Source organism: Homo sapiens, chromosome 9 (genome assembly GCF_000001405.40).
Source record: "Homo sapiens chromosome 9, GRCh38.p14 Primary Assembly".
Classification (NCBI taxonomy): domain Eukaryota; kingdom Metazoa; phylum Chordata; class Mammalia; order Primates; family Hominidae; genus Homo; species Homo sapiens.
The window spans coordinates 356685-383724 of NC_000009.12; the positions used below are offsets into that span (position 1 = coordinate 356685).

The 27040-nt window shown below is 42.6% G+C and overlaps 1 protein-coding gene and 1 long non-coding RNA gene across 21 annotated transcripts in view; one reads left to right on the forward strand and one right to left on the reverse strand.

Annotated features, from left to right (window-relative positions):
• DOCK8 (dedicator of cytokinesis 8) overlaps window positions 1–27040 on the forward strand; it is a 253999-nt gene that overhangs the window by 145428 nt on the left and 81531 nt on the right. For all 17 annotated transcript variants that reach the window (XM_017015173.2, XM_047423927.1, XM_011518045.4 and 14 more), the window contains 8 exons: window positions 11334–11451; window positions 13546–13616; window positions 14744–14882; window positions 15501–15602; window positions 19526–19621; window positions 20293–20527; window positions 23087–23251; window positions 25829–26001. In XM_017015173.2, the coding sequence (XP_016870662.1) occupies window positions 11334–11451; window positions 13546–13616; window positions 14744–14882; window positions 15501–15602; window positions 19526–19621; window positions 20293–20527; window positions 23087–23251; window positions 25829–26001 (1099 nt within the window). The remainder of the gene's footprint in view (window positions 1–11333; window positions 11452–13545; window positions 13617–14743; window positions 14883–15500; window positions 15603–19525; window positions 19622–20292; window positions 20528–23086; window positions 23252–25828; window positions 26002–27040) is intronic.
• On the reverse strand, window positions 858–8037 carry LOC105375945 (uncharacterized). Of its 4 annotated transcripts, XR_007061393.1 has the most exons (5): window positions 5714–8037; window positions 3028–3113; window positions 2655–2749; window positions 1147–1267; window positions 858–1010 (listed from the first exon to the last, which is right to left on the reverse strand). It is a non-coding gene; the product is annotated as an uncharacterized LOC105375945 (long non-coding RNA). The 4 variants fall into 4 exon arrangements; XR_929401.4 differs by having other exon boundaries at window positions 858–1267; XR_007061392.1 differs by lacking the exons at window positions 2655–2749; window positions 3028–3113 and having other exon boundaries at window positions 858–1267.

A 27040-nucleotide genomic window follows, 5' to 3' on the forward strand; every position in this document is an offset into this window, starting at 1 on the left:
CACACCTTCAGTCCATAAATCCAAGCTTTTTGTAAGGAGGGAGGGTGAGTAAACCAATTCATACTAAGGTGAGAGTGAATTATATATAAACCTCTTAATATATTAAATCTACCAAGCAGTGTTTCAGAAGGAAATCTGCTAACATGGGCATCTTACTTGAAAAAAATTTCAGTTGGTTCAACAAAGTATGGTTTAGAAATCATTTTCAATCAGGATCGGGGAGAGAATTTTTTTTTTTCTTAAAGCAGTTAGGTTTCCCCAGCAGATTTCGAATGCTTGGATATTTGTGATTCTTTTCTATGGGAATCTGATCTGGATAAGACCTAAGACCATAAACACTCTAGCTTTCCCTTTGGGTCTTTGCTATTGAAAACTAGTTGGACTTAAACAAGTGAAGTGGGTTTTAAGGATGGCTCCTTTCACCCATTTCTAAAAGATAGCATTCTTGAGGGTCTGCTTTATTTAGCAGAAGGAATGCTGGTTTTCCAATCTCTCACTCAAAAGGAACTTTTACTTATCTCATAGAAAAGAATGGGATGGAGATTAATGTAATAGAAAAGGTATTCTACAAATATCATAGCAGCTATATTTAATCAATTCATGTTCAAAGATCAATTAGTAGTAATAAGAGTTGTGCTGTATAAAATCACCATATCTCATATTCAAATTGCAGATCATCAGTTGAAAAAGCATGGATTGTTTTCTCACTGAAAGAAATCTTTAAAAGTGGTACCATAAGAGACATTAAGACTGGCTATTGTTTTATTTCTCTCTCTCTCTCTTTCTCTTTCTCTCTTTCTGTCATTTGATTTCTGACTTTCAGTGGATTTTTTTAACATTACAAAATCATAGAGAAAGAATATTGGACCATTTATTGTAGAGTTTTTAAACAATTTGATACCATTTTTTTTTTCTGGCGTCTTAACTGCATTTGCTGTTTGTGAGGGGTGTAGAGGTCCCTGATGTTCAGAGTACAGTACCAGCGTTTATGTGAAATATTGCAGCCTGGCCTGTGGAGGACAGGGGTTACTAAGGGGCAAGCTGCTGCTTGCGATAACACCCCCAGTGCCTCCTTCTAATCTTGCGCCATTTCCCAGGGCAGACAGCCTTGTGGGGCTCTGACTGGTGCCCTGGAACATGTTTTACCTTCCATTTTTCTTGCTCTGATTTCTGAAGACAGAATGTTCTCTTCAACCTACACATCAGGAGTTTTCCTTCTGTTTTCCTTTTTCACTGGTTCCTTTGTGAATTTGCACTTTTATCTAACCTAAAACATTGGAAACAGGAATAAACACAAATAATGGCATGAGGCCGTGGCCACAGAATGACAAGACAGGACACAGCAAATGTTTTGGGTTTTTTTCACATTTATGAACCTTCTCATTCTATTTATTTATTTATTTACTTACTTATTTCTTGAGACAGGGTCTCATTCTGTCACCCAGGCTGGAGTGCAGTGGCATGATCATAGCTCACTGCAGCCTTGAACTCCTGGACTCAAGTGATCTTCCAGCCTCAGCCTTCTGAGTAGCTGGGATTACAGGCATACACCACCATGCCTGGCTAATAAAAAAAAAATTCTGTTGTACAGATGGGGTCTCACTATGTTCCCCAGGCTAGGCTAGTCTCGAACTCCTGGCCTCAAACAGTCCTCCTGCCTTGACCTCCCAAAGTGCTGGGATTATAGGCCTGAGCCACTGTGCTCAACTGCTTCCCATTCTAAAAAGTGTCTAAGGCAGTTATAGAGGTTATATAACAAGGTATAAAATTTCTGAGTGAAAGGAAAATAAGGAGAGAGAAATAAATCTAAGTGTGTGTAAGGTTAATATGTACACAGAATGTTTATTAAGGCCTTTGACAGTTCCTTTAAAAATTACCTGCAGGCCAGGTGCGGTGGCTCATGCCTGTAATCCCAACAGTTTGGGAGGCCGAGGTGGGCGGATCACTTGAGGTCAGGAGTTCAAGACAAACCTGGCCAACATGGTGAAACCCTGTCTCTACTAAAAATACAAAAATTAGCCAGGTGTGGTGGCATGTGCCTGTAGTCCCAGCTACTTGGGAGGCTGAGGCAGGAGAATCGCTTGAGCCCAGAAAGTGGAGGTTGCAGTGAACTGAGATCACGCCATTGCACTCCAGCCTGGGTGACAGAGGGAGACTCCATCTCAAAGAGAAACAAACAACAACAACAACAAAACCTGCAAATTTGAGCTGCCTAGCAGCCAAGCAATAAAGGGAATCACAATGAACGATAAGATTCATATATCTGCCAATTTAAAAACAAACCAGTTCTCTTGGGTCAGTGCTTCTCAAACTTGAATGTACATTTGAGACACCTGGTGCATTGTTAAAATGTAGGTTCTCATCTAGCAGGTCCATGGTGCATTTCTAACTGGCTCCCAGGCAATGCTATGCTGATGCTGATGCTGACGCTGACGTTGATGCTGCTACTCATTGGACTGCCCTTTGAGTAGTAAAATTTTAGCTCACTCAGAAAAACCTCATAGTTTATTTGGAGTAACATCCCTTTAGCCCTTGTAGATATTATAAGACTACATTACAATAAAGTTCTGGTGAGTCTAATTGTTGACCAGAGAGATTGTTTACTTCAGAGCACCTGGATTTGAATTGCAGTGTGCCACCTGCTGCTGTGTTACCTGGTACAAGTTAATGCATTCTCTTCACACCTCAGTTTTATCATCTTCTGAATGAGGCTAATAGTAGTACCTGTCATAGATGCTTGTAACAGTGCCTGCATAGAGTAAGAATGAAATAATGTTAGCTATTTTTTATTGTTACATTTAAAATAGATTTTGCTGGTAGTGAAATATGAATGATAAAATCATCTCCTCAGCTGTTTTCCTTGCATAAGTACCTTAAAATAATGTATTTGCAATTTCCTTCTGAATCCTTGAATAAAAGACACCAGATAATCAGAAGATGTTACTGACATTAGTAGGCATTTGAAGTTCACTCTGATGGGATCAGTCTATTTACAACAAATTGCTATAGAGAGTAAAAAGCGCCAACCTTTTCCTGTAGTTTTTGAATGACAGCATCTTTGTTCATGCAGTTGGCTTTGCTGCATTTCCACTTCATCAATTTTTTGGCTCTGTCTTTGCAAAAAAAAAAAAAAAAAAAAATTACAGAGGGAGAATTTTAAAACACAAATGAAGAAAAAGAAATTACTTTGAAATTGCCAAAATTGTTTGGCTGAAAGAGCTTATTTAGAAAAACAGAGCTTTTTATGTATAAACCTGTTTCATTGGTGTTGTATCAGAATTGCATGTTGCTAGTAGTTTACTATCAAAACAACACTTGTGTTTCAAGCTGTTAAAAAATGAATAAAATAGGCCAAGTATGGTGGCTCACACCTGTAATCCCAACATTTTGGGAGGCCGAGGCGGGCGGATCACTTGAGGTCAGGAGTTCGACACCAGCCTGGCCAACATGGTGAAACCCCATCTCTACTAAAAATACAAAAATTAGCCGGGCCTGGTAGCATGCTCCTGTAGTCCCAGCTACTCAGGAGGCCGAGGCAGGAGAATTGCTTGATCTTGGGCAGTGGAGGTTGCAGTTAGCTGAGATCATGCCACTGCACTCCAGCCTGGGCAACAGAGCAAGACTCCATCTCAAAATTTAAAAAAAAAAAAAAAGAATAAAATAGAAACACTGATTTTTCTGGTATTTTATACCCTTCCCCGAATATCCATACCCAAGGCATTTTTAAGATTTCCCTAAGCTGGAAGCACCAGACCACATGTTATTTAAAACATATTAAGATGTACCTACTGTATTATGTATACTTTGTATATCATTTTATAACAGTCTGCAAAGTAGCAGGAAAAAATTTTTGCCTTCAGGTTAAACTCAGAAGAGTTGCCATTGGCTAACTGAAAAATTTTGCATTTGGTAAGCATTTAATTAAAAATTTATTGATTTCGGTTTTGAGGTTTTACTTTTCATATTTTTAGAGCCAATAACTTCTGGAATCTCAGACATTTTTGTGGAATCTTAAGTTGTTCATAGATCCTAGGTGCTGTGTTTGTCATCCTGAGAGCTTAAATGGCCCTGTCCAAACCTCAGCCTCAGCTCAGAGTAGGAAATTGTCAAGCACTTGGTAACTGGTAAGCAAATGGATTTTAGTCACTAAATGGAGCGGGAGGAATGGAGTGCTCCCTCAAAAAGAGCATTTCAGCTGGTCACAGTGGCTTGGGCTTGTAATCCTAGCACTTTAGGAGGCCCAGGCATGAGGACCACTTGAGCCCAGGAGTTCGAGACCAGCCTGGGTAACACAGGAAGATTTCACCTCTACAAAAAGTAAAACTAAAAAATTAGCCAGGCATTGTGGTGCCTTGAATCTGTAGTCCTAGAAACTTAGGAGGCTGAAGCAGAGGATCGCTTGAGCCCAGAAAGTTGAGGCTGCAGTAAGCTGTGATCACGCCACAGCACTCCAGCCCAAGCAACAGAGCATAGACTCCATCTCCAAAAAAAGAGGCTGTGACAGAGGAAGGCAGGGGGATGTTAATCAGAGAGACATAGAGACTGGGAGAGTCTGAAAGAGAGGCAGAGAGACTTACACAAATTAAAGACACAGACTGAGAGAAATGGAAAAATGAAGAGAGGATCCCAGACAGATTGATTGACTTCCCAGGTAACATATAATATCTTACAATCCTGCAGAATGTTTAAAGTTGCATTTTAAAAGGCACTCCGTTTGTTCACACAATCCTGGTAAGAAGATCATCTTAATTAGTATCATACTTTGCAGCTTTCAAGCAGTTCTTAGGCATCATTGCGTTTAAGACCTGGCTCCAGCCGTTTTATTACAGATGAGGAGATTGACTTGTTCACCTTACATTTGTAGAGCATTTTGCAATTTTTTTGAAGGACATTTCCACCCATTATCTAATCACAAGTCTCCATAAATCCCATCTCCCCTGGTATAAAAGCAGCTTAAATTACAGGTGCTACTAAGATGCAAAATGCAGCCCACAAAATCAGCAAATATTTTTTCTTTGTTTCCTCCTTTTTTAAAAAAGGCGTAGATTTCATATTACTACTTTGTTTCAGGCCGTATATTGAAGTAACAAAAATAAAACCAAAATTGACACCAATTTTATTTCGAAATAAAATCTACTTTTTTCACTTTCCCACATCATTTTCTAGCTGCTAACCTTCATGCATATTCAATTTTTGCATATTTACAGCCCTGTCAAAGATAAAATTTTATTTTCTGCATTTTCACTCAACATTATACACTGAGTATTGGCCATTTCACTCATCTCAGTGCCACTTTCAAAGAGATACCCAGGAAAAGCAGCAGCAAGGGTTGTTCGACCTTGAACAACTACAGATAATACTTTGGCTCTCTTTGAGATTTTTAAGGCCCTGTAAGTAAAATATTTTCAGATTACAGAAGGCTTGGGATTCTGTCTTTATCACATGACTGATTGGTCCTCCATGTTCTCCTTGGCAGATGTGGGTATCAGTGACACAATGTTTTTTACTCAAAACATGGTTTAGCTTACCAGTACCAGGAATGGCCGATGCATACGCATTCTCATTGTGAAGGTTTATTTGCACCTCCACTCTTCTTAACCAGGCTATTTTCACAGAAGAAATAACCCCAACTTCATGAACCCTATTCCCATGACCTATTTGCCAATCTGTTAAAATAATGGCCAACTCAAATGATCAGTAATGATTGACTCACCATGACATCATCCATCACCTTTGTCACTGGAAGCCCACTTGCCTTAAAGGGTGCAGCATCTTCCAACTTTGCTCCAGCAACTTCAGCTCCTCATTAAATCCCTCCCTGTAGGTCATCCCTGCAACCAGTTGACACTGGAGCTCAGCAGCCAGCTGATAGGGGCCTTCACTCCTCTTGTCGAGCTGCTCCTCTCTCCTCTCAAAGCCCTCTTTCCTTCTCTCCTGCTGGCTGACCTAGAAGCTCAGCTAAAGAGGTGTTCAAAGGGTCCAGTCGCTTAAACAGGTGGCCAGTGTGCTTTCTGCTATAACTCCTTGCTCCTTGAGCTCAGCTCCAAGCTGTAGAAGGCCATGGAAGAGCACATTGATGTCATCTTGGGAATAATTAACAGGGTCCGGTTTTTCTGTTCGTTTCCTTGCACCAGATGAAGAGTAGGATAAACTTGGGAGAAGCCAAAGTGATGTTTTTGTATTGTGGCTTTGAATGATTTCAAGGTCCCTTGGTTAACCTATTCTCAGCAAAAGAAATAGAAGATGGTCCCAAGATGGTAAGAGCAGAGTGTTTGGTTGATAATTTGATCTAAAAGTGACCAGACTCCACAAGTTAACCCCCAGAGCTGCTCAATTACAGCAGTTTAAAAATAAGTTGAGGATTCGTTGCTAAATCAGTGGAAAGAATTTGGAGTTTCCAAAATAGTTTGTAATCAAGAAAAGCCATCTGAGGAGGCCCTGGAGGGAAAATCGCTGATGATTATCAAATGTCCAGTTCTCAATGCGGTGGTATATGTGACTGAAAAAAACCACTTTTGTCCACATTTGGGGAAAGATAAGATTATACTAAATGCCTGGCACATACACTGGACCTTCAGTTACCTAGAAAACTTTCAAAATAACTTTGCCATAACAAGTGGCAAATTATTAAGGTCATGGGCTGTCTTCTCAAAATTACTTAGATAACATGATTCTCTGGCCAGTATGAGACCCTTAATTTATCACGTATGAAGCATATGAGCCTGTTTATCCGTTCGTTAATCATTATTTTTATCTGGCTTGGGCTCTGGGTTACTGGCCATGCAGGCAGATCTTCCCTTCCAAAAGGAAACGTTATTATTCTCTTGTATTCGTTTCTTTAAAAACATGCAGATTTAACAAAACATATTACTTAGCACTCTTACTGATTTAGAAATATGATGACCCTTAGGAAATGCATCTCCTTAAAAGAAATTCCAGGCAAACTCATTTAACCTTTCTGGATGTTAGTTTCCTGACCTTCAAAAAATGGGATGTTGGACCAAATTATCTTGAAGTTTCCTTCCAGCTGTGTGCTCGGTGGGGAGTGCTGGCAGTGTGGGGCAGGACACTGAATATCTGTGGTGGTGATGTTTGGATACAGGGGTGAGCAACCCCTTTGGAAGCAACATGCAAAATTGCTGAGCAGTGGTGGGGGTGCATGGGAATGGGTGGCGGTGCCCCTGTATTGGAGTGTAAGAGACAAGTGTGGTGAGAGCAGTCTGGCAGGGCTACTACTGTTATGATTTACACAGTCCCTTTCATCCAGCTACTTCAAAGCACCTTCACAAACTCTGGCTCATTATTCCTTCAAACACAGCATTCAAGAAAGATTGATAGGCGCCTTTTAATTAATTCAAAGATGATGAAGCTGAGCATTACAGAATATAAGGGGATTCTTCCAAAAGTATCTGCACTGCAGAGGGGCATGATATATAAAGTGTTCATCACAGGTTTCTAACTGAAACAAGGAAATGACCTGAACGCTTATTTTTAGAGGAGACCAGTATATATTATGGCATATTCAGAATATGCAATACCATGCACCCATTAAAATCATGTTTATTAAGAATAGTCACATTAGGGAAATGGTCATAACTGAACAACGTTTAGTGGCATAAAAAAAGATAAAGCTTTGTACATACAGTATGATGAAAATGTTTAATGTGGCTGGGCATAGTGACTTGTGCCTGTAATTCCAGCACTGTGGGAGGCCAAGGCAGGAGTATCACTGAAGGCCAGGAGTTCAAGACCAGCCTGGGCACCATGGTGAGACCCTGTCTCTACAAAAAATTTAAAAATTAGCCAGGTGGTCATGATGCATGCCTACTATTCTAGCTACTAGGGAGGCTGAGGCTGGAGGATCACTGGAGCCCAGGAGGTCAAGGCTGCAGTATGCCATGATCATACCACTGTACTCCAGCCTGGGCAACAGAGTGAGATCCTGTCTCAAAAATTGAAAAAAAAAAAAAAAAAAGGTTTAATGTGTAGAAGGGAAAAGGCTAAATGGAAATGTGTTAAAGTCTTAACGGTGATCTTCCTTGGAGCAATGATATAGTGGGTGGTTGCTATTCTTTTCTTTATACTTTTATGTACTTTTATGTTATGCAAGGTTGAAAAAATGGGCACATATTGCTTTCATAGTCATTTCTGTTAAGATAATCATATGATTATGAAAGAGGGAGTGTGTGTGTGAAAGTGGAATGGACCAATCAAATAGAACAGTAGGAAGACCTCAGAAGATATGACACATGAGCTCAACCCCAAAGATGAGAAGAACCAGCCATTTAGTGAATGGGGAAGCCCTCTGGGGAACAGAAGGCACGAAGGAAGGAATAAGTTTGGAATGTTCTAGGTTTTGAAAAAAGGCCAGCATGGGAGAATGATGAAAGATAAGGTCAGAGCCATTGCCAAGGGCAAGGTCATGTAGGACCCATGACGAAAAGTTTGGGAAACCCTTGTAGGGGACTGACATAATTTATTTTACATTTTTGAAAAATCCTTCTGACCAATATATGAGGAACATTGTAAGAGGCAAGTGTAGAAGTCAAGATCTATTGAGAAGGCGTTGCAGGGGTCCAGGTGAGAATGAGGATGGTTCAGAGTGGAGAGACAGGGACAAGGTAAGTTGGAGTGTGGGTCTGACTTGTTAGCCATGTGGAGGAAATAATTATCATAATAACTATCATGTATGTTTTTAGGGGGCTCTATAACTTCAGTATGTTTTCAGTGTTCACATTTGTAGGTTTACAGAGTTTGTACTTGATAAGGTACAGAAGTAAGTCACTTCTCAAAAATCATGCCTTTAGAAGCATATATCATGCTTCTATTATAGTAATGATAATAATAGAAGTCTACTGCTAGTCATAAAACTTATCTGTTCAGAGAAGGCTTTTTTTTTTTTTCAGAGAAGTCTTCCAGGTTTCAGCTGTTGCTCATTAATGCTCACCACAGCCCTTTGAGGTCGATGCAATTATGCTTTGGAAAAGCTAAGTAACTTGCCAAAGGCCATGCAGCTAAAAGAAGCAAAAGCTGGATTCAAATCTCAGCTCTCTGCCTCCAGAGAGAACACCCTCAATCCCGCTTAACAGACATTAGCTCTGCTTATTTGATTGGTGGCAGTGGAGATGAACAGAAGTGAACAGTGAGCAGAGAGGGGTCTGTACCCCACACACATCCCTGCACCCCAACTGTCAACTGTCTTCCATCATCATTTACTATATCCACGTCCACTCCTGACAGCATCAGTGGCTCAGTCTTACCGACCTGCATCAGGGTTTTGGGCTCTGCCTCTGTTTAGACAGAGCACGATTTGGGAAGTGCTGCTAAGTCAGCCAGTGGCTGAGTAGAAACAGCCCTGCAGTGGGCCTCTGCCTGCTCTGTGGCTCGTTTATCATGTGTCTCATCTTTAAAAGTTGGGGCTCAGTCTAGGTGCCTCCTGGCCTGAGCACCCCAGAATTCTATGCTGATCCCTTCATTGTGACATGGCCTGTCATCTACTCTTCTGGGAAGACCATCTGCACCTCACTGATACTTGAAGCTCATTGAGTATTGTCACATATCAGCCCAGAAAGTCACAGGGTACAGCAACTCATACTTGCTCCCAGCACCAGGCCAGCCCCATTCTGCCTCCAGGGAGTCACCCAAAATAGAGAGATGAGGGTAAAATAAGACCTAGGAATACTATTTATTTGCCTCCATGGCCTTTGAACTTGCACATCCAACGTAACGGCTCCTGTGTGTTCTTGATTGTTCCAATTATCATTTTTCCTCTCGAATACCTGAGAGCATTCATTATTTTGCAAGAGATTTGAGAATCCCTGTGCCCTAACTTTTCTTTCCTTGATGTGGGATGTTCTTCTGTGACTAGGTAAGTTTATCTCAATGTGTCCCCAAATAATTTCTCAGAATGTTAAATTCATAAAAGCTACCATGAAAGGATAAATAAATGAAAGGAGTTCTGAGGTCAAAACATTTGGGGAAAGAAGAGTCTTTCTCCTTCTGAGGCATTCTCAGTGCACAGTAACCTGTTTATCTCGCTTTGCCTTGCTCTTTCCCAAGCACATTTTTGCTCAACGCCCCCTACCTTCCCCATACACTTGTTAACACTTTGCAGAGCACTAGGGCTCTGTGGGACAGGCTGGGAAATGCAGGTTGACATGCCACTGTTAATACCTAGAAAATTAAGGCAAACTTGTCCCTGAGAGATGTCAGGATAGCACAGTATGGAAAGGCCATGCTTATCAGGGCTCTTATCTGAGAGAATACAGTGGTTATGAGCATGACTCTGGAACTAGACAGTCTGGGTTGAATTCCCCGCTCTGCCATTTAGTTATATGATATGGGGTGTATTACCTAACATCTCTGTATCTCATTTGTTCCTCACTTGTGACATGGGGATGATGACAATGATAATAGTACCAACCTATAGGATAGCTATGAGAATTAAACAAATTAGTAAATATGAAGTATTTGGAACATTGGCCTGACTCAGGATAAGTCCTGTTTAAATGTTAGTATCATTATTATTGTTTCTTCAAGCCAGGAATATACTTCATCAATTATGTGTACACTCATTCCTTCATTCAACAAACACTTACTTAATACTCCTGTGTCCTAGGCACTGTTCTAGTGCTGGAGATACATCAGTGAATCAAAAACATGAGAGAAAAATCCCTGTCCTTGTGGAACTTACACTGTAGTGGAATCTACTACTAATAATGCAAATAGAAAGAAAAATATATGCAAGTTACCCAGGCACTGGGTAGCCTAGTACCTGTCCTATAGTTGTCAAATGGATGGATATATTATTCTTATTGTTGTTGTCGTTTACAGTAATTGAGCTTGGAGGTTTGAGCTGCCATCTTAGATAAGAACAGAAAGCTAAGCCAATACGAGTGCCATGCCAGTAAGAAAAGGAAACTATTACATAAAGATTAGGAAGAAAAAAGAGAAGAATGACAAGTAGGCCATTATCTATGGCCATGAGTTTTATTTAAAATGAGCTGGACCTTTTTTGCCTTCTTTATCTGTGTATCAGATAGACAATTACCTCTAGGCAGATTTCCACATTCCAAGACATGAAGACTTTCTAAGCTGCAGCAGACACATCTTTACTTGTAGCAAAACAGAGAGCGATGGGGGTTATTTTCAGATGACTGTAGCTGAAGAGGAAGAATCAAGTAATTCACTCCCCCCAATAATAATTCACTTCTGAGAGGAAAAACTTCTTTGGAAAAAGCACCCCATGAATGGAAGTCTCAGCATTTGCTGAAGAACTTAGTTAAAATAAACTCTAGACCTTTTTCATTGATTCTTTATCTCTTCTTTTCCAGAAACCTTCTCTATGTCTACCCACAGAGGCTGAACTTTGTAAACAAACTAGCATCAGCCCGGAACATTACAATAAAGATCCAGTTTATGTGTGGAGAAGATGCTAGCAATGCGATGCCGGTAAGGAGGGAAACGAACATTTGCCTCAAATCAGGGTGGGCTGCTCACCCCTGTCACTTCACACAAGTCCGGGACTCATCAGTGTACAAAGTCCGTCTATTCCAGGCCAATACTGCTCAGCATGTGCAAGGGCTTCTGTGCCCAGGATATCAGTGGGGAAACAGGGTCAGTCTTACTTGACGATCTCTTTCTCGGCTTATTCTGTAGTGAGCTTGGAACATACAGATCATTTTAGAGGATTAAAAAAAGTCATAAAGTCTTTCCATACTGCCCATAGGACCACCCCACTCTAAAGGCATACAAAGTAAAGAGATGGCTCAACACGTGCGCCATGTTTGCTGAGTGTCTTCCATGCACAAACTGTACACACTGTGTTATACACACACAGTGTTACACACTTACTCAAGCCTCGGACCACAGTGCTGATGAATACAAAGTACCGCCTAGTAATTATAAACACACACCACCTCCACACCTTCTAGGAGTGGATCTTTGTTCTGAGGCAAAATATAAATCAAATTATTCATATATATATATATATATAAAATGCAGTGTGCTCCAAGGAACTCAAAATGCCAGAATTTATACTTTTTAAACCATCTCCTACTAAATGAGATGGTGGTTAGCTATTACTATTTCCCATAAGTCATAGAATTCAGTTAATATAACTTTCTTTCTTTTTTTCTTTTTTTTTTTTTTTTTTGAGACAGAGTTTCACTCTTTTTGCCCAGGCTGGAGTACAATGGCCGCAACCTCCACCTCCCAAGTTCAAGTGATTCTCCTGCCTCAGCCTTCCAAGTAGCTGGGATTACAGGCGCGTGCCACCACGCCCAGCTAATTTTGTATTTTTAGTAGAGATGGGGTTTCACCATGTTGGCCAGGGTGGTCTCAAACTCCTGACCTCAGCTGATCCACCCGCCTTGGCCTCCTAAAGTGCTGGGACTAAAGGCGTGAGCCACTGCACGCAGTTAATATACCTTTCTAAAAAGAAAAAGAAAAAAATCCTTTCTCTTAATGTCCCACCCAAAGAAAAAAAGAAAAAAAAAAACCTTTCTCCTAACGTCCCACCTGTCTTCCCAATGCAAGGTGTCTTAAGACAGCGGTGGGGTCCTCTTAGTCCTCTCTGCTCAGGCCCCTGGCATGCCACTGCCAGGAGTGCCAGATATGCTTGTGCAGATCCTGTGGCAACCAAGATGCCCAGCCAAGAGTGACTGTGGGCTAAAGTCCAGTCTGTTCTTCATTCACTGAGCCATGGGTTCTGGTGTTGGGATTACTGCATCTAGAGGAAAGAGCTTTTTTTCTCTGCACAAAGGTGAGTGCACTTGTTCATAATGCATCCTAAATGCTGCTTCAGGCCCAAGGAGGTATCTTTTTCTAAATGGCACAAATGTGGATAAGGCAGTGGAGATTCAAATCACCTAAGTGAGTAGGTCTGTATGTTTGAGAGAGAAGAACCTGGAACTGGGGATTTCTCACTCAAGACAAAAGTATGTAACTTTGGCCTGTTGGATAGACCTCTAGGCAGTGAGGCAGAGTGGAGAGAGTACTGGTTTTCTAATCTCACAAACATGTGGCCTTTGGTCACTAATATAGCCCCTTGGAACCTCATTTCACCCTTCATAGCCAGTTCCTTTGCACTGGTGTGCTTGGGCCAGTTGTAGTCCCAGCACTTTTTTTTTTCTTTTTGAGACAGGATCTCACTCTTGCCCAGGCTGGGGTGCAATGGTGCAATCTCGACTCACTGCAACCTCTGCTTCCTAGGCTCAAGCGATCCTCTTGCCTCCGCCCCCTGAGTAGCAGGGACTATACGCATGTGCCACCACGCCTGGCTAATTTTTGTATTTTTTTGTAGAGATGAGGTTTCGCCATGTTGCCCAGGCTGGTCTCCAACTCCTGGGCTCAAGCCATTCTCCCACGCCGACCTCCCAGAGTGCTGAGATTACAGGTGTGAGCCACTGCTCCTGGCCAACCCAGCACTCTTAATTGTACAAAATGCAGCTCTATGAGACCAGAACATCCTGTTGGCCTGATGATAGTCAATTTGATGTACCCAAATGTTACTGATAATTTGATCCTTTCTCTACTGGTGAACAGGTCATCTTTGGAAAATCCAGCGGGCCTGAATTTCTGCAGGAAGTGTACACAGCTGTTACATACCATAATAAGTAAGTCTATTTCAGCATTCTAAATATATGCCAAGATGGTTTCATCATCTCCTGGTTTTTCCAAGTCCCGTGGGTGGTTCCTCCTAACTATTTTTATAATTCAGGGACTGAGGGGCAAAGGAAATCCATGCCAGTTCCGTGACTCTGTGTTGAAGATGTATAACTTTGCCATTAACCAAGACTGAGAGAAGAACGTGTCTTCAAGAATCCAATATAGTTTTGACTTTTCCAGAAGCTTCTATTCTAGTATGATGCAAAGAGGTTGTATTACGTTAATTAAGGAAACACATTTCCTAACTTGCTTTGAGACCCTGGAGGGGACCAGAAGCACAGTCCGGCTCCCCTTGCCCTGTGTGTCCCTGTCCGCTCCACTTGACACCTGCCCCACTGTCTGCCTAGGCTGACCAAAGGAGAAATGGAACACTCATTATTCCACCGGCAAATGGAGTCATGGGATAATGCCCACCCTATTATTCATGTTCCACAGGGAAGGGAGAGACACCTGCACAGTGTTGGACGGAATTGGGTTTGATCCGGGCCTGATAACCTGGGCCTAATTAAGTCCTTCATTTAAGCACATTCTGGGATTGGGATGAGGATTAAGTGAGGTAATGTACATTACATACCTACATTACTTTACAATGTACGTAATGTACTTCGTAATTAATGAAGAACCTAGGGCTTCATAATGCAGTTAAATTGGTTCCTTTTTCCTCCTGCCTCATTCATTTGCTTCTACTCTTTGATGAGTGCAGCTAGGTGCTAGGCTTGGTTCCTTGGGTAGAAATGGAAAAAGGAGGTCACAGCAGGAGTCCAAACCTCATCCTTTCTTCAAATTAAGTTGTTGGAGTTTTCCATTGTGTGGGGGAGTTGTTTTTTGTTTTTTGTTTTTTGTTTTTTGTTTTTCCTGACAAAGCCTTTAGTTCATGAACAGTTTTATGTAAGGGAAGTGCATCTAATAACATAAGCTTGGTCTCAGGGACTTCCAGCTTCAGAGCAGAGTAATGTAAAATGAAAAGCAAAACACCAGGCAAATTCTGAGGAGCAAAGGGGCTGTGGCGTTTTACAATCAGAGAAGTCATCATTCTTGCTAAAAGTTATTTGTGTATAATGTGCTTTTGAAACAGGTCTCCTGACTTTTATGAAGAAGTGAAAATTAAGCTCCCCGCTAAGCTCACAGTAAATCACCACCTCCTGTTCACCTTCTACCATATCAGCTGTCAGCAGAAGCAAGGAGCCTCCGTGGAAACTCTCCTGGGATATTCAGTGAGTTGTTTCCAGCCTGCTGACTCACACTGCAGTTGTTGGTGCATCTGAGGTCCCTGCAGAGATAAACAACCAAATTCTATTCACTTGATTTTTTCCAGTCAGAAGTAGCAAAACATGCTAAGCCACATTATAGCAAGAGGCAGAAATGATTTGCCTTAGCAAATGTCAAATTTCAGGAATGGAAAGCTAGCGGGTGATAGATGTTGGAAGAATACTCATCTGTTTTTTAAAAAGCATTGCAGTGTTCACTATTTCCAAATTTAATATCCATGCTTCACGTATAGAACTAGCTTTGTCCCCCAAGAAGAAACCATTTTTTCTTTAAAAGATATAAAAGGTGAAATAAACATTGATGTTGTTCAGACACACACAAACATTGGCTACAGAGAAAAATGCTACTGCTTTAGCTCCAAAAGCAATAAATCATCAATATTACCATTTCAGGAGGTCTCGGAGATTTAAAATGCAAAGAACTGGACAGAAATTACTGCCAAAAAGAGTACTGGTCAATATCTACTCACTGTTTAGTTGCATTTGATTATTGCGAGCTAGATAAATTATCAGAATTATATGCTGTAATAAATACCACTTTATTATTTACATCATCTGTTTCAGTGGCTGCCAATTCTCTTAAATGAACGTCTTCAAACTGGATCCTACTGTCTCCCAGTTGCCTTGGAAAAATTGCCACCCAACTACTCCATGCATTCTGCTGAGGTAATTGGCAAGCTGGCCATCAGCTGTTTCTTGTCCAGCTGTAGTCTTGGACCACCTTCCCAGACTCACTTTCCATTCCCATGTGGCCATGGATGTTCATCATGTTCTCAGAGAGCACATTGTTCTGATAGGATGGGAGGAATAACTGACTGTGAAACCTCATTCTTTTAAATGCCACCAAATCAGAATGTTCAGTAGACGCAACCTACACCCAAGGCAGCATAACCTTGCATTATCTACCACAGAGGGATTCCCAGAATAATGTATTATAGAAGAGGAGGCAAACTAAGGCCATTCATAGTAAACAACTGTTCCCATCAAGGATCCTTATAAAAGATTCCCAGGCCAGATTCATCCGTTTCTTTCTTGGGTCAGTTGTCACAGCCCTCCGGTAGATACCAAGGTATTTATTCTCCTACCAATCCCAATGCCAATAGCCTTTCCCACTTCCTGTTTCTGGCACTTTCTCTTGCTCATCCACTCTGCTGCAGTGCACCCATTTAAAGAGAAGCCCAGGTGGATCAACTGAGGTCAGGATTTCAAGACCAGCCTGGCCAAGGTGGCAAAACCCCATCTCTACTAAAAATACAAAAATTAGCTGGGCCTGCTGTTGGGTGCCTGTAATCCCAGCACTTTGGGAGGCCGAGGCAGGCAGATCACTTGAGGTGAGAAGTTCAAGACCAGCCTGGCCAACATGGTGAAACTCCATCTCTACTAAAAATACAAAAAAATTAGCCGGGCGTGGTGGCGGGTGCCTGTAATCCCAGCTACTCGGGAGGCTGAGGCAGGAGAATCGCTTTAACCTGGGAAGTGGAGGTTGCAGTGAGCTGAGATCACACCACTGCACTGCAGCCTGGGTGACAGAGTGAGACTCCATCTCAAAATAAATAAATAAAAAATAAATAAAGGGAGCCCAGGGGACTGTCCACCCTGACTGCACCAGCTGTCACACTGCTAGCCCACTTCTCAGTTCCTTGCATAGGTTTACATCAATAAGTATTATTTTGAAGTAAATCTCGGACATCATATTTCATTTTAGTCTGCATCTTAAAAGATAAGGGATTTGTTTTTAACCATCACAATACCATTGTCATACTTTAAAATTTTAACTGTAATTTCTTAGTATCATCAAATATTCAGTCACTGATCAAATTTTTAATTATCCCACTAATGCTATATTTTTGACGCTTGCTTTTTAAAATTGGTATTCAGATAAGGTCCACACACTGATATTGATTGTTACATCTCTGGAGACGCTTTTAATCTACAGATCCTCCATCTCTTTTGCTTTCCTTGCAATTTTAAGTTGAAGAATTTCTCAGAAATTTGAATTTAATTTCAACCGTTCCAGTCAACTTTCTTCTCTGTTCTTTCGCCATCTACCGTCTCACTTCCGGCTGTTTTCCTCTTATTTTCTTTTTTCCTTAAAGAGAGAACCAACTTTTGCCCTGGACCACAGGCATGTGTCTGGTAAACCAAAACTTCTCTCATCAAAGCCATCTAAGGGGCAATCCGAGTATGTCCACAGACATTTCCCTGATTGGTCTTTATGATTTGGACATCAACACCTTTCAGTATCCCTCAAAACCACCTTCTTATCATCAAGTTGCACACTCTAATTTCTTAGAACCCCCTATTATCTTTTTAAGCTATAGGAAAGACCTGAGTGTTGGAGAGAGACAAATCTGTGTCCAAAGTCTAGATTCTGCCACTCCCTAGCTGTGTGAATGTTGGTGAGTTGCTTACCCTCTCTGAGTCTCGAAGATGAAACTGAGCCCATATCTGCATATCTGCCTATAAGGTTGCTGTAAGCATTAAATGAGATAATGCTTGCCAAACAACAAACTCAATTCCTAAGTAAACATTAATTCCTTTTTCTTACTTGCGCTATGCTGTGTTTATAGATATACCCTTAGCCTCTCTTAGTATCCTTTAAACCTGCACTGTCTGATAAGATAGCCACTAGCTGTATGTGGCTATTGAGGAAAATATGGCTAGTTCAAACTGAGATATGTGCTATAAGTAAAATATGCAACAGATTTCAAAAACTTCATGGGGAAAAATGTGAAATATTGTATTAATAATTTTTTACATTGATTACATATTGAAACAGTCTTTAGGCTGTATTGAGTTAAATGAAATATTACTTTCACATGGTCCTTTTGTGTTTTTTTTTTTTTTTTTTTTTTTTTAGAGACAGGGTCTTGCTCTGTCACTCAGGCTGGAGTGCAGTGGCGTGATCACAGCTCACTGTAATCTTGAACTCATAGGCTCAAGCAGTCGTCTCACCTCGGCCTCCTTAGTAGCTGGGACTATAGGCATGCACCACCACGCCCAGCTAATTTTTTTTTTTTTTTTCATTAGAAACAGTGTCTTGCTATGCTGCTCAGGCTGGTCTCAAACTCCTGGCCTCATGTGATCCTCCCACTTTGGACTCCCAAAGTCCTGGGATTATAGGTGTGAGCCACCATGCCCGGCCCCTTTTTACTTTTTTAATGTGGCCACTAGATGATTTTAAATTACATATATAGCTCACGTTATATTTCCACTGGACAGTGCTATTTTAGATCACAGATGGCAAACTCAAGTGCCCACAGGATCCAGATGAGTAACATAAATGAATGCCTTGTTCTGGTGGCATCTGTTCACTCTGGAGATTGTCTCTTCCCCATCTGAAGGTCACAGCTGTTCTCTTCACTCTGCAGATTGGTGACATGCTGGGATATAAGGCCAATTTTTTCATTTCTTCCAGTACTCAAATGAAGTTAGAAAAGCAGTCTTTTATAGGAAATTTTCAGGCTTTCAAATATTGGTAATTAATTTTTTAAAGTTCCTAATACTTCAAACAGAACGTGTGTGTAGGCTAGAGCCCACTTTGGGCCCCAGCTTTTGACTGCTTCAGATAGCTTTAAAGGTCTCCATCCCCTGTACACATCTACCTTTCATTATGATGAAAGACATACAAACCTAGGCGAGGCCCTCACTCAACACTGCAGGACATCTCTAAAGGAATGCAATTTCAATGGGAATTTAAGGCAAGAAACTGTCTGTAAGACCTACGAAGGTAATGATATATAAACGTATAAAAGAGTCACTTTGAGTAATTAAAGCAGGAGCCGACCTGGCCTAGAAACATGTGGGAAACACTTGGAAAAACTGTGGTGAAAGGGAAAGTAATATCGGGTACTCAAAAGTATTAAAATTTCATGTCTTGTAAAGATATTCTATACTTTGTCCTGACAATTCTGATTAATGGGGAAATTGCTGGGATCTTAATTTATTTTAATTCCTAGAATCCAGAATCATCAATGCTGGTTTGGAACTTAGAGACAGATTACACCGTTCAGCCCTCTTCTCACAGCATGAGAACAGAACACTAAGGCCCAGAAAGTTTAGTTGAGTCGTCTAAGTAAAAATAACTAGTTTGAAGCGGGGCACAGTGGCTCACACCTGTAATCCCAACATTTTGGGAGGCTGAAGTGGGCAGATCACTTGAGCCCAGAAGTTTGAGACCAGCTTGGGCAACATGGTGAAACCACATTTCTACAAAAAATAGAAAAATTAGTTGGGTGTGGTGGTGTGTGCCTGTAGTCCCCGCTACTCCAGAGACTGAGACGGGAGGATCATTTGAGCCCAGGAGGTCGAGGCTGCAGTGAACCGTGATTGCACCACTGCACTTCAGCCTGGCGACAGAGTGGGACCCTGTCTCAAAAGGAATGAATAAATACATAAATATTAACTAGTTTGGTGTAGAATTGAAGTTGAATCCAGGGCTCCTGACTCCAAGAACAGTTAGATTAGTTTTCAAGAGAGTTCTGTATTTGTATAACCCTGACATTTCCAGTCAAGTTGGTCTGCATTGCTTGTTAGTAATCAGAAAAGGGAATTGGATTGCTAATCTTTTTTTTTTCTCTTTAACACAGAAAGTCCCATTACAGAATCCTCCCATTAAGTGGGCTGAAGGACATAAGGGAGTATTTAATATTGAAGTGCAAGCTGTTTCTTCTGTACACACCCAGGTAAGGAATGTCAAGGTTAATCATGAAGGTAAAGGTGCAGCGGAGGAGCCTTTGAAGGACAGGCCAATAAAAGATCAGTGAAAATCCTTGTCTACAGATAAATAAAAAATAACCCTTTAGTTCTTTGTGGGGACATGCAAACCTCTTTAGGTTTCATTTGTCATTGGAATAGAAAGACCTTACAAAACCGCCGAGCACCTAAAGGAAAGAACCTAGTATCTGCACTGTTGGTGGAGAAACTTTGCAGGGGGACTTGATTTGAAACTCTCATCTGCTGTTACTTCTTTTCCCTCTGTAACTCTGCCACTTTGCCAGCTTTTAAAAAGAAATTCCGTACTCTCTCCTTTACCTGCCACTGTCTGAGTTCTGCATCTGCTGAGACCTCTCTCTTGGCAGTATGCTTACCTGGTACGCTGACCTCTGCTTACAGAACATGTCAGAGCCAAAATTATTTCTTCTTTAGCTAATAATTATTGAAACGTTCAACTTCATGCACCACATTCTACAAAGAAGTTCATAGCCTCGGTCTGAAACATCATGTCTTAGACCTTCTGGTCTGAAACGCTGGATAAGAGGTTCTACCCATAAAGAGCTATTCGATTGTGTTTGTGAATCCACTGGTGAACATTGATGGTATAAAACCCCATGAGGCCTGCCTTCTCCCTTCGCAGGACAACCACCTGGAGAAGTTCTTCACCCTCTGCCACTCCCTGGAGAGCCAGGTGACCTTCCCCATCCGCGTGCTGGATCAGAAAATCAGCGAGATGGCGCTGGAGCATGAGCTGAAGCTCAGCATCATCTGCCTGAACTCCTCCCGCCTGGAGCCGCTCGTGCTCTTCCTGCACCTGGTGCTGGACAAGCTCTTCCAGCTGTCCGTGCAGCCCATGGTCATCGCTGGCCAGACAGGTATGAACCTGCAGGGCTGGGCTGGGAGGAGGCAGGAGCAAGCAAGCATTGCCTTCTTTAATGAAAAATGACTTTCCAGAAATCCAGAGACAATGTGATCTTCCTTTCCACTGATGATGTGTGCTCAAGGGAGGCCAAGTCTTATGCTATTTTTTTTTTGAGACTCTCTGCATGTTGGAAAGAAAAAGAAACATTAAAATAGGGTTCTTAATATTATAGCTTTTTGTAAACTTTATTAAATGATTATAGGCAGTCTTTAAAATTCCATTTCTGGTAATTGATGAATTTATTTTACCTTGAAGATATTTTTGTTTTCTTGACTAACAGGAAATGGAACATTTTAAGGTAAGACAACCTGTGTTAAATGGAGGGAAGGAACTCTCTACATTGAAATGCAATGCAATCAATTTTTAAAGTTAAAACATAAACTCACTATTTTAAAGTGTATAGTTCATTGGTTTTTAGTATAGTCACAAGGTTGTGCAATGATCGCTACAATCTAGTTTTATAACATTTTCATCACCTCCAAATAAAACCCCATCACTCCCTATTCATCCCTCCCCCTAGAACTCATCCGTTCTCTCTTACAGTCTATTTTAAATGCTTACTTTTAACAAGTTAACACTAAATACAATGTGTACATTTTCCCTTAGAAATAATCTCAAAAGCTTATCCTGGAGGCATGACCAGAGTCCAGTGGTTCTCCTAACTCTTCCAGGGTAGACTGGCTGGTATAGGGCATCTTTATTTGCCACCATTTTCAGCTGTGCCTATATAGCTCTTTGCTTTCCAGTCCAGCAGACGTCTTTTGGGTACCATCCATATGCCCAGTACTGTACTAAAAGTTGTAGGCTTTGTGACAATAACCAAGAGCATCTCAGACCTCAGAGGACTTATAATATGGCAAAGAGTCAGCAGCACAGGACAAGACTCCTCAAAGGGACACAGCTAAATTTTGCAGTGGTTGTGGGGAGGGTGGTATCAAAGGAGAGAGTGAGAAAACATCCATCTGGGAGGATGCAGGAGGTCCACATAAAGAGATGGCCTTGAAGAAGGGATAGAGTGAAAACCGACAGAATAGGGGCAATGAGATGAGTGCAGCACTGCAGAGAACCAGAAAAGTGTGGGAGTGTCAGGAAGAAAGTCAGTAGCACAGTTGGTGGTGGAACAGAAGCACGTGTGGAAGTGGGCTGGGACAATGAAGTGAGACGGCTTTTAGAGCCAGGGAGGGGCATGTCCCCTTAATCTCTCACTCTGCTTTGCACCCTGATATGCATCTTCTGTGGTTCCACAGATCAAACGTCCTGTGTTGGAGGCTAACTTTTCATCCATGTAGCAGTTGCCTCTCCAGCTAGATTCTTGCAGAGCTCTGCCCTCCTTCGATTACTTTCTGTGCCCCCGCATATGTGGCACACTGCTTTGTATGTTCCAGCTAGTTAATACAGACTTGTTCACCAGACAAAAATATTTATATGTTTTGAGCAGCTTCTCCATAGCAAGTTGCCACCTTGTGGTGTGAGGACCACAGGGTGTTGGCATAGGCAGAATAAGTGGAGGTGGCTAGTCTACAAGCATTTATTCAGAACCTATTCTGTGTCTCTGCAATGGAAAGCACAGTGGGGGCACAAAAGATGTGAGAAATGCACTTCGCATGGGAAGGATTCCAGCTTTCACAGACAGACAGTTTACCACCAGACATGGCTGGAGAATCATGTAACTCAGTTTCACTTGAGCCCTGTACTGTGTGGAGTCAGACGGCTTCATGGAGGAGGTGGGACTTGTGCTGAGATTCACAGGGTCGGTATGATTTTGTGGATGGGAGTGAGGAGGGCTTCCTAGGCGAGGACAACAGCATGAGCAAAGTCTCAGAGGTAAGAGAGCAGGCATGATGGGACAATACAATGACTGCCTCATTTTAAGGGATGTCGAACTGAGCCAAAAAGGGTACAAGGTTAGATAAGTATATTGGAGCCAAACTATAGAGGCTTAGGGCACCAGAACAAGAGGTTCTATGCAGTAAATCAAATGTGTATGGGCCCACTGTGGGAATGACTTGATATGCAGACATTTTTAGGTTAATCTGTACAAGAATCAGGGTTGTGCAGCACATCTCAAATCATAGTGTCCACAACAGTCACGTGAGCATCTTGTAAAGATGCAGAACCTGATTAATACACTCTCTGGGGTGGGGCCTGAGATTCTGCATTTCTTAGTAGCAAGCAGGTGATAGTGGTCGTGTGTGTCCGCAGCCCCCACTGAGTAGCATCAGTTTACAACCTGGCTTAGAGAAGGAGGACGTCTGGACAGTCTTATGTCTTTGTCATTAAAAACCATCAATGCTATTCAGTGGCAGGAGGAGGAAGTTCAAAAGAGGGAATGTGGAGGCATCTGTGGTACTCAGAGCCAGCATGCCAGAGCTCACCAAAACCATCTACCCTTCCCAGGCCTAGTTAAATTGGTCAGCGGTCAGGACTCATTGTCACTGTCCTGGAGAAACTTCCACCTCAGGCTCCTTAAGGACCAGCTGTGGGACTACCCATTTTTCTCTTGGTTCCTCAGCCAACTTCTCCCAGTTTGCCTTCGAGTCCGTGGTGGCCATCGCCAACAGTCTGCACAACAGCAAGGACCTGAGCAAGGACCAGCATGGGAGGAACTGCCTGCTGGCTTCCTACGTGCACTACGTCTTCCGCCTGCCAGAGGTGCAAAGGGATGTGCCCAAGTCAGGTAGAGTTGCCCTGAGTGTGGGACTCTGGTGGGCGGGGCAACACCACCTCCACCCCACTGCAGTGTAATCCAAAATAAAACATCCTATGCTGGGTGCAGGGGCTCACATCTGCAACCCCAGCACTCTAGGAGGCTGAGATGGCAGGATCGCTTGGAGCAGTGGCTCACATCTGCAACCCCAGCACTCTAGGAGGCTGAGATGGCAGGATCGCTTGGAGCAGTGGCTCACATCTGCAACCCCAGCACTCTAGGAGGCTGAGATGGCAGGATCGCTTGGAGCAGTGGCTCACATCTGCAACCCCAGCACTCTAGGAGGCTGAGATGGCAGGATCGCTTGGAGCAGTGGCTCACATCTGCAACCCCAGCACTCTAGGAGGCTGAGATGGCAGGATCGCTTGGAGCAGTGGCTCACATCTGCAACCCCAGCACTCTAGGAGGCTGAGATGGCAGGATCGCTTGGAGCAGTGGCTCACATCTGCAACCCCAGCACTCTAGGAGGCTGAGATGGCAGGATCGCTTGGAGCAGTGGCTCACATCTGCAACCCCAGCACTCTAGGAGGCTGAGATGGCAGGATCACTTGGAGCAGTGGCTCACATCTGCAACCCCAGCACTCTAGGAGGCTGAGATGGCAGGATCGCTTGGAGCAGTGGCTCACATCTGCAACCCCAGCACTCTAGGAGGCTGAGATGGCAGGATCGCTTGGAGCAGTGGCTCACATCTGCAACCCCAGCACTCTAGGAGGCTGAGATGGCAGGATCGCTTGGAGCAGTGGCTCACATCTGCAACCCCAGCACTCTAGGAGGCTGAGATGGCAGGATCGCTTGGAGCAGTGGCTCACATCTGCAACCCCAGCACTCTAGGAGGCTGAGATGGCAGGATCGCTTGGAGCAGTGGCTCACATCTGCAACCCCAGCACTCTAGGAGGCTGAGATGGCAGGATCGCTTGGAGCCAGAAGTTGGAGACCAGCCCAGGGAACATAATGAGACTCTGTCTCTACAAAAAATATAAAAATTAGCAGAGCATGGTGGCACATACCTTTAGTCCCAGCTACTCAGGAAGAAGCTGAGGCAGGAGGATCATTTAAGCCCAGGAGTTGGAGGCTGCAGTGAGCTATGATTGCACCACTGCACTCCAGCCTGGGAAACAGAGCGAGATCCCATCTCTTAAAACAAACAAACAAACAAACAAACACCCTAAAATTCCATTTTCGTTTTCAGGACAATACAAAACTTACATGAATGCTGAAATTATGTGTTTCTTTATAGATCTTTCTTCCTCCCTCCTTGCCTCTTTTTATGCTCTAAACACTTATTTTGTCTGCCCATTTGATAATCCCTCACTGGTCTTTACCCACTTGCTAATTTATGATTCAGCTGAGAATCTCTTTTTTAAGATGGAGAAGTGGTGACTGATGCCTACGATTCTAGTATAATAAAGGAAATAATATATATCCAATGGCAGTGGTTCTTAAACTTTTTGTTATTAAAAAAAATCCCTTTTCACATTTCCCTCAAACTGAACTATTGAAATAATAGTAATGCATTTCCCCAACTCTTCTTAATTATTTACATAAGTAATAATCAAGTAGAACTTCTTGTCAGCATGATATAAAAATTAGTGTCAGTGAGTTCACAAAATTGCAGGCCCAAATAAACATGACACTTTTGTTGGTCTGTGCAGCCTCATTTCTAGTAAATCTGAAAATTTGATTGAGTTTTTAAAAATACTAGTGATGTGGCTGGGTGCGGTGGTTCATGCCTGTAATCAATCCTAGCACTTTGGGAGGCCAAGGTGAGCAGATCACTTGAGCTCAGGAGTTCAAGACCAGCCTAGGCAACGTGACAAAAGCCCATTTCTATAAAAATTACAAAAATTAGCCAGTCGTGGTGGCGGGTGCCTGTAGTCCCAGCTACTCGGGAAGCTGAGGCAAGAGGATTGCTTGAACCTGGGAGGCGGAGGTTGCAGTGAGCTGAGATCATGCCACTGCACTCCAGCCTGGAGGACAAAGTGAGACCCTGTCTTAAAAAAAAAAAAAATTAAATAGTAATATCTCATAGATTTCCATAACCGCTTGTGAAAACATGTCAACATTTAAAGATGAAAAACAGTGCTGTATACATCATATACCGTAATCCTCACAAGGTTCAGATGACTCTATGGATTTTTGAATCTGAGAAAACCTCACTGCATGAATTGTAAAGTTGTCATTTAAATATTGACAAATTAAAAATATCCACATTTTTAGCTTCTCATGAGAAATCAGAAGCTCTAGCAACCCTGGGGTCCATTTCCCGATGGCAGTAATAGACTGGAGCCAGTAGTACCCCCTGCCTTTGTAAGAGGCATGTGTTGGCTGTTTACCATGATCTCCACCACTCCCTGGTGCCTTATGCCCCATCTACTTCTCTCCAAAAGATTGCCTCCTACCCCAACCAGGATTTGTTAAGAAGTCTCTAATTCCAAGGCCTAATCCGGTGGCTTTTCATCCACCCTATCCCTCTTCAATTCCTTCTTAAACTCAGTAAGTAACTCTGTTCCCCTGTCTGTTGACATGTCTCTGCCTGGTGGGGTGCAGGCGCTCCCACTGCCCTCCTAGACCCTCGGAGCTACCACACGTATGGCCGCACATCAGCTGCTGCTGTGAGTTCAAAGCTGCTGCAGGCCCGGGTGATGAGCAGCAGTAACCCAGACCTCGCGGGGACACACTCCGCAGCAGACGAGGAAGTGAAGAACATCATGTCTTCAAAGGTAGGAAAGATGTCAAACCGTGGAAGGGGACACAGGCTTTTTTATTTTTTAACTAAAACTTGGAGAAGTAACACAGAAGCAACCACTACTGCTGCCCACCATGCTGGTCGGATGCTTTAATGCTCAGCTTTGGAGTGATTAACGTTCTTTAGAACAGATTAAGACCATTCTGACAGATGCAGCAGCAAGACCAGCATCTGAGGATTTGCTGAGAACTACTTAGCTTGGGTAGCAAAGTTTTAAAGCATCAGGGGTTTAGCCACATGGAGTCATGTGGCTAAACCATGCATTTTATTTTCAAGGAAAAAAAATAGCTTTAACTTTTGATACCTGGAAAGGTTGCCTTTAATTTAGTTTTGTTTCTTTAATACCTACCTCTTACGTTCATTAACATCCACAGATTGATTATCTCACAAAAAAGTCCAAAGGAACAGCCGGGCATGGTGGCTCATGCCTGTAATCCTAGCACTTTGGGAGGCCGAGGCGGGCGGATTACTTGAGGCCAAGAGTTCAAGACCAGCCTGGCCAACATGGTGAAACCCTGTCTCTACTAAAAATAAAAACATTGGCCAAGCACGGTGGCTCACACCTGTAATCTCAGCACTTTGGGAGGCCGAGGTGGGTGGATCACAAGGTCAGGAGTTCGAGACCAGCCTGGCTGACATGGTGAAACCCCGTCTCTACTAAAAATACAAAATTAGCCAGGCGTGGTGGCACATGCCTGTAATCCCAGCTATTCAGGAAGCTGAGGCAGGAGAATCGCTTCAACCCAGGAGGCAGAGGTTGCAGTGAGCCAAGATTGTGCCATTTCACTCTAGCCTGGGCAACAAGAGCAAAACTCTGTCTCAAAAAAAGATACAAAACATTAGTTGGGCATGGTGGCGGGTCCCTGTAATTCTAGCTACTCAGGAGGCTGAGGCAGGAGAATCACGTGAACACGGGAGGTGGAGGTTGCAGTGAGCCGAGATTGCACCACTGCACTCCAGCTTGAGCTACAAGAGTGAGACTCCGTCTCAAAAAAAAAAAAAAAAAAAAAAAA